Genomic DNA, 10,690 nt, shown 5'->3' on the forward strand with positions numbered 1-10,690 from the left:
TTTAAATTCTTCTGAACAGTTTTCCAAACAAATGAACCGTCTTATACTCTCACCAGCAGTATATCAATGTTCTGCTTTCTCCACATCTTTGAAAATACTTGACATCATCAGTTTAAAGAATATTTTCATTACTCTCATAGGTAATATAGTGGCATTTGATTGTTGATAATTGTGGTTTAATTTTCCATTTTCTGATTGCTGCCTATTTGTATATTCTTGCAATTTCTCTTCGCTCCTTGCTCCGGGCATTGGATGCATTCGATGTGTCTGTTTTTTACAGAGCCTCTGTTCAGTTTGCAGGACAACAATTAACACCTAGGCCATGACATTCTCTCTGTGTGTGTGTGTGTGTGTGTGTGTGTGTGTGTGTGTGTGTGTGTATTCCCCACCAGTGAGCTGGTTTTGATGACTGTGATGGAATCAGCTTTATCTCTGCATCTCCAGTTCCCAGTATGAACCATGACCCTTAGTTGTTTGATTCAGTTAGGATACACTCAGCAGAAATTAAAATACCACACTGGGGCCAGGCGCGGTGGCTCACGCCTGTAATCCCAGCACTTCGGGAGGCCAAGGCGGGTGGATCACAAGGTCAGGAGACTGAGACCATCCTGGCTAACACAGTGAAACCCCGTCTCTACTAAAAATTAAAAAAAAAATAAATAAATAAATAAAACCCAAAAACATTAGCCAGGCGTGGTGGCGTGCGCCTTTAGTCACAGCTACTCGGGAGGCTGAGGCAGGAGAATGGCGTGAACCCAGGAGGCGGAGCTTGCAGTGAGCCAAGAACGTGCCACTGCACTCCAGCCTGGTGACAGAGCGAGACTCCATCTCAAAAAAAAAAAATACCACATTGGCTAGAACAATGAGGAAGTATATTGAATGATATAACATGCTTTCAGAGGGACAGTGGGCTCCAGATATTTTTGATTCATCAGCAAAATTAAATTTCTTTTTTTTTTTTTCTTTTTCTTTTTGAGACAGAGTCTCGCTCTTTCACCCAGGCCGGACTGCAGTGGCACTATCTCGGCTCACTGCAAGCTCCACCTCCTGGGTTCACGCCATTCTCCTGCCTCGGCCTCCCGAGCAGCTGGGAGTACAGGGGCCCGCCACCGCGCCCGGCTAATTTTTTTTGTATTTTTAGTAGAGACGGGGTTTCACCGTGTCAGCCAGGATGGTCTGATCTCCTGACCTCGTGATCCGCCCGCCTTGGCCTCCCAAAGTGCTGGGATTACAGGCGTGAGCCACTGCGCCCGGCCGCAAAATTAAATTTTCAGAGGCTCAGTTTCTCTTCCATTTTCCACTCTGCACTCCCCAGTGTTGGCTGGCACCATGATGGCTGGCAGGTTTCCAGATATTACAAACAGACATGACAACATCCACAGAAAATAATAAGGGAGAGCATCTCCCGTGACAGGAGCAAGGAAACATTTCCCATTGGCCAGCAGCGTACATCTGCTTTTAGTTGCTAAAATGGGTTATATGTAATTCCTGAAATAATCATTGGTATTACTTTAAATTAGCCATAGACTCTCAAAGGTTTTAGTTAAATAAAAAATCAGACTCTTAAGTTTCATTAGCTTTTTATGTATGAGACATAACAAGTGATCCTTTATTTTAAAAAGTAAAATTACAAATATGTATAAATTTCATAATACAGATAATTTAATGTATATATTAAGACCACAAACATAATTTCACCTTTTTGAGATTAATGTTAATTTTTAAAAGCAGAAATTCTGAAATATAAAGTCTATATTGTTAGAACATTTACTAGGAATTTTTTATGATATAGAATATTATCTGATTGTTTGTAGATGTAGGGGACAGGGAAAATATTTTTGGTCTAACCTTGTTAAGTATTTTTTCTTCCAGACTCAGAGGAGCCTACTCTTAATTTCTAGAATTCTGTTAGTTAACCTGAAGACTGAGAAGGCCAAGATTTACAATGTGGAAATGAAACCAAGGTGTAATTGGAATTTGGGTGAACATATTTACTCAATTCATTTTTTAAAATTTGAGACAGAGTCTCTCTCTGTCACCCAGGCTGGAGTACAGTGGTGTGATCTCACTGCAACCTCTGCCTCCCGGGTTCAAGCGATTCTCCTGCCTCAGCCTCCCGAGTAGCTGGGACTACAGGCGTGTACCACCGTGCCCAGCTAATTTTTGTATTTTTAGTAGAGACAGGGTTTCGCCACGTAGGCCAGGCTGGTCTTGAACACCTGGCCTCAAGTGATCTGCCTGCCTCCACCTCCCAAAGTGCTGGGATTACAGGTGTGAGCCACTGTACCTGGCCTCAGTTCATTTTTACAGCACACATACATAGCACTAAATTCAAAAGAAATAAAAATCTTATCTCTCACCTTTTCTGAAGCTTTAAAATCACCCTTTTCAGAGACAACTACACTTTCCAGCCTCTTCTGTGTTCTTGAGCAGATAGTCCATGTAAATAGCAGAGTACATTGCCTTAGAGTAGACATTCAAGATTTGAAAGTATTCCTTTACTATCTCATAATTCAGTGTTAGTCATATACCAGTGTCATTATGGATTTCATCAATAAAAATTTTGGTTCAATTTATTTTCACTATACCCAAGTGTTTACTGTGGAGGAAGGGTCTGCAGTGTCCTTGGCCACATTTAAAAAATATGGTTCATTCCGGACTGTTTGCCCAGATCTCTGCCTGGTGCACAAGAGATATTGTGGCCTCTACCACCATCACCACTGGGATTCTCTTCACCTCTCTCCTCTACTGAATTTCTTGTTTTCTACTCATTCATTCTGGTGGAAAACCCCTTCCACTTGCTTTCTTTGAAGAGGTGACTTGGAAATAATTCACGTGGTTGAAAGGATTTTATTCTACCCTTCTGTTTTTGGTGTCTCCCTATTCTTGGCCAGCAGGTTCCTAGGCATGTTCTTTTCATAGTAGATGGCAGAAACACAAGAGGCTGAGCCAAAGCATATTTAAAGTATCTATATCCATTGTAATCCACCCAAATTCTGTTGACTAGACACATGGCCAAGCCCAACACCAATGGGGCAGGGATGAGCTCTGCCAAGGGTGGAGAGTAAGGGAAGAATTGTGGGCAAATATTCTAAGCCACCAGATTCATACCAACATTACTGGCATGACTGTGAGTCAACACATTCCACTGTGGGGGGCAACTGAGCAATAATTAATGATGTCATTGAGAATAGTTTATTCTTCACAGGCTTCTTGTAATTCAGGTCTCTGCCCAAATGCCACCTGATTGAACAGGTCTTTCTTGACCACCCACTTGACTAGCCCCACCCTTCTGTCAGTCACACTCTTTCAGATTATTTTTAAAAATTTCCTCATTTCACCAAACACTAAGTGACATTCTTTGATTTTATTTATGTATTTATTTATTTTATTTTTTGAGAGGGAGTCTTGCTCTGTCACCCGTGTCGGAGTGTAGTGGCATGATCTTGGCTCACTGCAACCTCTGTTTCCCGAGTTCAAGCAATTTTCCTGCCTCAGCCTCCTGAGTAGCTGAGATTACAAGCATGTGCCACCACGTCCAGCTAATGTTTGTATTTTTAGTAGAAATGGGGTTTCACTATGTTGCTCAGGCTGGTCTCGAACTCCTGACCTCAAGTGATCACCTACCTCAGCCTCCCAAAGTACTGGGATTACAGGCGTGAGCCACCACGCCCGGCCAGGCATTCTTTGATTTTAAATAATGTGTCAAAGAAAGTGACATTATTTGTCCCCATGTTGATTGTCTACACTCTTGGACATAAGTTCCACAGGATCAGGGGATATGCTTCTCTTGCTATCATTGTATCTCCAATATCTAGAGAAATGTATGGCTCAGAGAAGATGCTCAAATATTTGTTGAAGGAATAAAAGTGAAAATGGATTGATTCATATTTAGACTCTAAATAGAGGTGGAGTACTGCTGCCTCCTTTAGAGAATAAAACTCAAGGCTCTGAATAGTATGAGTTTCTCATATTTAGGGAAGGAAAATATGTGAGGACTAAAGTAGAGTTAAATGCACTGAGGAAGCTAATATTTATAAGGATGCAATTTGGAATAATATGACTTCCTGGATTTAATTGACTTCTGGTAATTTGAATGTAGTGTGAAGGAATCAACCCTTATTCTTTGATTCTGGAACTCACACCACACAAAATAATGCAGAGGTTGAGGGCATTGTCTCAGAGACTAAACCTCCACCACTTACTAGTAGTTTACTTAATGTCTTAATCTCAAGTCACTTAATCTTTAGTATCTGTAATAGAGATATAACAATAGCATAACCATGTCGTAGCACTGTGGAGGGTATTATATGAGTGAAAACATGCAGCATGGTTAAGGCACTGCCTGTAAGTTCTGTATAAGGGATTCCCACAGACCTCCAGATCTGGCTTGCCAAGACTATAAGTGGCATCCAAAAGGCATGGGCAAAAGCCCTGAGTCCATACCTTTTCTGAATTCTTATATTAGTTCTAATAATTTATCTGATGATTTTTTGGTGTTTTCTTGGCTTACTATCATATTATCTAAAATGTTAATTTTATCGTGTTCTTTTTATGTATTTTCTTTCTCTGGCTTTATTTATATATTTTTTTGAATAGGGTCTTTCTCTATTGCCCAGGCTGGAGTGCAGGGGTATGATCATAGCTCACTGCAGCCTGAAACTCCTGGGTTCCTTTGGTCCTTCCACCTCAGCCTCCTGAGTAGCTGGGACTGCAGGCACAGGCCACCATGGCTGGCTGGTTTTTAAACTTTTTGTAGAGACAGGGTCTCCCTATGTTGCCTGGACTAGTCTCAAACTCCTAGGTTCAAGTGATCCTCCTGCCTCAGCCTCCCAAAGTGTTGGGATTACACGCATGAGCTGCTATGCCTGGCCCTCTTTTTCTTGCTTTAAAGCAGGGGTCCCCAACCCCCGGGCCACAGACTCATACTGGTCTGTTAGGAACTGGGCCACACAGCAGGAGGTGAGCAGTAGGAGAGCGAGCAAAGTTCATTTGTATTTACAGCCACTCCTCATCACTCACATTACTGACTAAGGTCCCCCTTCTGTCAGATCAGTGGAGGCATTAGATTGCCATAGTAGCATGAACCCTATTGTGAACTGTGCATGCAAGAGTTCTAGGTTGTGCATTCCTTATGAGAATCTAATGCCTGATGATCTGTCAGTGTCTCCCATCACCCCCAGATGGGACTGCCTATTTGCAGGAAATCAAGCTCAGGGCTCCCACTGATTCTACAAAATAATGAGTTGTATAATAATTTAATTATATATTCTAATGTAACAATAATAGAAATAAAGTGCACAATAAATGTAATGTGCTTGAGTCCAAGCAGATAAGTCTTTCCCTATAAAACCTACTCCAAAATATTGGAAGATGTGAGTTTCACTAGATGACTAGAAATCAACATAGGGAAACATCAAACATGAAAATGCAAGAAAACGTAACACCTCCAAAGAAACACAATAATTCTTTAATAATAGACCCCAATCATAAGGAAATATATGAAATGCCAGAACAAAAGTTCAAAATAATGATTATAAGAAAATTCAACAAGGTACAAGAGAACACGGATAGATAATTCAACAAAATCAGGGCAACAATTTACGATTTGAATGAGAAATTCAACAAAGAGAGAAACATCATAAAAAAGAACCAAACAAAATTTAGAGCTGAAGAATTCAATGAATAAAATAAAAAATACAGTCAAGTGCTTCAAAAACAGACTAGGCCAAGCAGAAGAAAGAATTTCTGAACTTGAAGACAGGCTGTTTGAAATAACATAGGCAGACAAAAAAAGAAAAAAGAATGAAAAAACCTTACAGGATTTGTGGCACACTATTCAGTGAACAAATATTCACATTATGGGCATTCCAGAAGGAGAAAGTTGAGGGAAACATATTTAATGAAATAATAGCTGATTTATTCATAGATGGCAGAAATTAAAAGAAATAATAGCTGGAAACCTATAAACACCATCTTGAAAACATGCAAAACTATAAAACTCACTGGTAGAGCCAATGCACAAGAAGAGAAAGGAATCAAACCTTATCACTGCAGAATACCACCCAAGCAAAAATAATAAGAGAAGAAGTAAGGAACAAAGAATATATAAAACAACCAGAAAATAATCAATAAAATAACAGGAGTATGCCCTCACCTATTCATAATAACCTTGCATGTAAACAGATTAAATTCCATATTTAAAAGATATAAACTGGCTAAATGGATTAAAAAAAAAAAAAACAAGACCTAACTATATGCTGCCTATAAGAAACTCACCTCACCTATAAAGACACAAATAGGCTAAAAGTGAAGAGATGGAAAAAGGTATTCCATGCAAATAGAAACCAAAAGTGAGCAGGAATAGCTATATGTATATTAGACAAAACAAATTTTAGGTCAAAAGCTGTAAGAACAGACAAAGAAGAACATTATATAATAATAAAGGGATAAATTAAGGAAGAAAATATAACAATTGTAAGTATATATGCACCCAACACTGGAACACTCAGATTTATAAAGCCAATATTATTAGATCTAAAGAGAGAGATAAAGCGAAATACAGTAATAGTTTGGGACTTCCACACTCTACTCTCTGCATTGGAGAGATTATCTAGACAGAAAATTAACAAAGAAATATTGGATTTCAACTGCACCATAGATGAAATATACCTAACATATTTATGGAACATTCTGCCCAATGGGTGCAGAATACACACTTTTTTCATCAGCATAATAAATACCTATGTCAAAAATAGAAAATTTCCAATAAACAACCTAATTATGCATCTCAAGGATCTAGAAAAGAAGAACAAGCCCAATTAGTAGGAGAGAAATAATAAAAATCAGAGCAAAAATAAAATTGAGAGTCAAAAATACAATAGAGCAATGAAACAAATAATTGTTTTTTTGAAACAATAAAATCAGCAATTAGCCAGACTAAATAAGAAAAGAGAGAAGACTCAAATAAATAAAATTGGAAATGAAAAATGAGACATTACAATGGATACCACAGAAAAAAGGATCATTAGACAATACTATGAAAAATATATGCCAATACAATTTTAAAACTAGAGGAAATGGATAAATTACTGGACATATGCAACCTACTAAGATTGAACCAAGAAGAAATAGAAAACCTGAAAAGACTAATGACAGATAATGAGATTAAATCAGTAATAAAATGACTCCCAATAAAAAAAAGTCCAAGAATGGATGGTTTTAATTACTGAATTCTACCAAATCTTTAAAGAATTAATACCAATTTTTCTGAAAATATTTCCAAGAAATTGAAGCAGAGGGAACTCTTCCTAAATCATTTTATGAGACCAGCATAACCCTGATACCAAAGTCAAATAAGAATGCAACAAAAGAAAACTACAGGCCAATATCCTTGATGAACAGAAATGCAAAAACCTCAGCAAAATACTAGCAAATAGAATACAATACATCAAAAAGACAATACACTATGATCAAGTGGGATTTATTCCAGGAATGCAAAAATGGCTCAACATATGCAAATCAATAAACATGATATATCACATCAACAGAATGAAAGACAAAAACCATATGATCACCTCAATAGATGCAGAAAATGCAACTGATAAAATTCAACATTCCTTCATGATAAAAACTCTCAATAAATTAGGTATAGAAGGAAAGTTCCTCAACACAATAAAGACCATATATGACAAACCCAAAGCTGTCATCATACTGAATGCAGAAAAGCTGAATGATTTTCCTCTAAGATCTGGAACAAAACAAGGATGCCCACTCTCAGCACTCTTATTCAACATAATACTGGAAGTCCTAGTTAGAGCTATTAGGCAAGAGAAAAATAGCGGGCATCCAAACTGGAAGGAAGGAAGTTAAATAGTTCTTGTTTGCAGACTACATAATTTTCTATATAGAAAAACCTAAAGACTCTACCAAAAAACTCTTAGAACAGATAAACAAATTCACTAAAGTTGCAGGATACAAAGTCAACATGCAAAAATCAGTATCATTTCTACACACGAAAAACAAACTAGCTGAAAAAGAACTCAAAAAGGCAATCTCATTTTCTAAAGCTGCAAAAACAACAACAACAACAAAAACCTAGGAAGAAGCTTAACCAACGAGGTAAAAGATCTCTACAAGGAAAACTACAAAATGCTGATGAAAAAAATTGAAGAGGATACAAGTAAATGTAAAAACACCTTATGCTCATGGATTGGAAGAATTAATATTGTTAAAATAACCATACTGCCAAAAGGAATCTACAGATTCAATGAAATCCCTATCAAAATTCCCATGGCATTCTTCACAACAACAGAAAAAAATCTCACAATTTGTATGGAACCACAAAAGACCTCGAATAGTCAAAGCAATCTTGAGCAAAAAGAACAAAGCTGGAGGCATCATACCATGAAACTTCAAAATACAAAACAAAGCTGCAGTAACCCAAACAGCATGGTGCTGGCATAAAAACACACATAGACCAATGGAACAGAATAGAGAACCCAGAAATTAATCCATATATACACAGTCAACTGATTTTTGTCAAAGGTATGAAGAACACTCATTGGAGAAAGGACATTCTCTTTAATAAATGTTGCTGGGAAAACGGAATAACCATATGCAAAAGAATGAAACTAGATACCCATCTTTCATGCTATACAAAAATAAACTCAAAATGGATCAAATACCAAATGTAAGACCCCAAACCACAAAACTACTAGAAGAAAACATAGGGGAAATGTTTCAGGACACTGGTCTGGGAAAAATTTTAATGAATTTTTTTTTTTTTTAAGTAAGACCACAGGCAACAAAAGCAAAAATAAACGAATGAAATTATATCAAACTAAAAAGGCTTCTGCACAGCAGAGGAAACAATCATCAGAGTGAAAAGACAACCTAGAGAATTGGGGAAAATGTTTGCAAACTATTTATCTAACAGGGGATTAATATCCAGAATATACATTTCAACAGCAAAAAAATTTTTGGTTAAAAAAATGGGCAAATTTTTTGAACAGGCATTTCTCAAAAGAAGACACAGAAATGGATGACAAATATATGAAAAATTCCCAGCCTTATCATCAGGTAAATGCAAATCAAAACCAAAATGAAGTGTCATCTCATCCCACTTAGGATGGTTATTATCAAAATGACAAAAAAATTAGCAAGTGCTGGCAAAACTGTGGAGAAAAGGGAACTCTTATATACTGTTGATGGGAATGTAAACTTGTATGGCCACTGTGGAGAACAGTATGAAGGCTCCTCAAAAAAACCTACGAATAGAAGTAATCATATGGTCCAGCAATCCCACCCAGACATTTATCAAAGGACAGGATATCCGTATATCCAAGAGACATCTACATCCCCATATTTATTGCAGCACTATGTATAATAGCTAAGACATGAAATCAACCTGGGTGTCCAACAACAAATGAATGGATAAAGAAAATGTGGTATATATACACAGTGGAGTACTAAGCCATAAAAAGAATGAAATCCTGTCATTCACAGTAACATGGATGGAAGTGTAGGACATTATGTTAAGTGAAATAAGCCAAGAACAGAAAGTTAACTGCCACATGTTCTCATTCATATGTGGAAACCAAAAAAGTTGATCTCACAGAAGTAAAAAGTAGAACAGAGGATACTATAGGTTGAGAAGGGGAGAATATGAACAGATTTGTTGAAGGATGAAAAAATCACAGCTAGATAGGAAAAATAAATTCTAGTATTCTATACTACTGTGGGATGCCTATAGTTAACAGTAATATATAGTTTCAAATAGTTAGAAGGAGGATATTGAATATTCCCAATACAAAGAAATGAAATATATGAAATGATGGCTATGCTAATTACTCTGATCTAATCACTATGCATTTTATATGTATGTGTGTGTATATATATACATAAACATCACTATGTACCACATAAATATGTACATTTGTCAATTTTTAAGTTTCTATAAGTAAAATAATAGGTTTTTAACCCCATAAAGTATTTCATAACAATTTAATTTTAATTGTAATCATCCAAATGAATAGATGCTTAGGTGCTAATTAGGAAAAAATTGCTAGAAATAATTTTTTGAAGTATTATATATCTTTAGAAGTATTTCTCTACTTCTGGAGGTGGAGGGGGAAGAGAGACATATCACTAAGTCAGAGCAAGGGTATTGGGAATACCTTGCTCTGTGTATCAAGAATTATCTGTATACTGCATAAATAATAATTCTTGAATGTATGTAACAATCTTTAGGTATATAGATGCTGTTTTAACAAATGACAAAATTTTTAAAAAGTTAAAATATATTAAATCTCACACACACAAACACTTACAGACCATACATGGCACCGTTTGCAGTTGGAGAAATGTAATTAATTGTAAAGATGCAGTATTAAATTATAACTGCATAAAATTAACCGTAGAACATACTGTTCTATTATAATAATATCATAGCCACCTCCAGTTGTTATTGCAGTGGATGCAAGTGTTGCAAGTATTCACTTAAAACACTATGTGATACTAGTCATTTCTGTGGGAGCAGTTTATCTCTCCAGTAAATTGCATATTGCAGTAAAAAGTGATCTCTTGCAGTTCTCATATATTTTTCATCATGTGCAGTGCAATACTGTAAACGATGAATAACAGCATGGTGCCCATACAAAGCACTGCTTGTGATATTCGAAGTGCTCCC

Source organism: Homo sapiens, chromosome 19, assembly GCF_000001405.40.
Source record: "Homo sapiens chromosome 19, GRCh38.p14 Primary Assembly".
Lineage (NCBI taxonomy): Eukaryota > Metazoa > Chordata > Mammalia > Primates > Hominidae > Homo > Homo sapiens.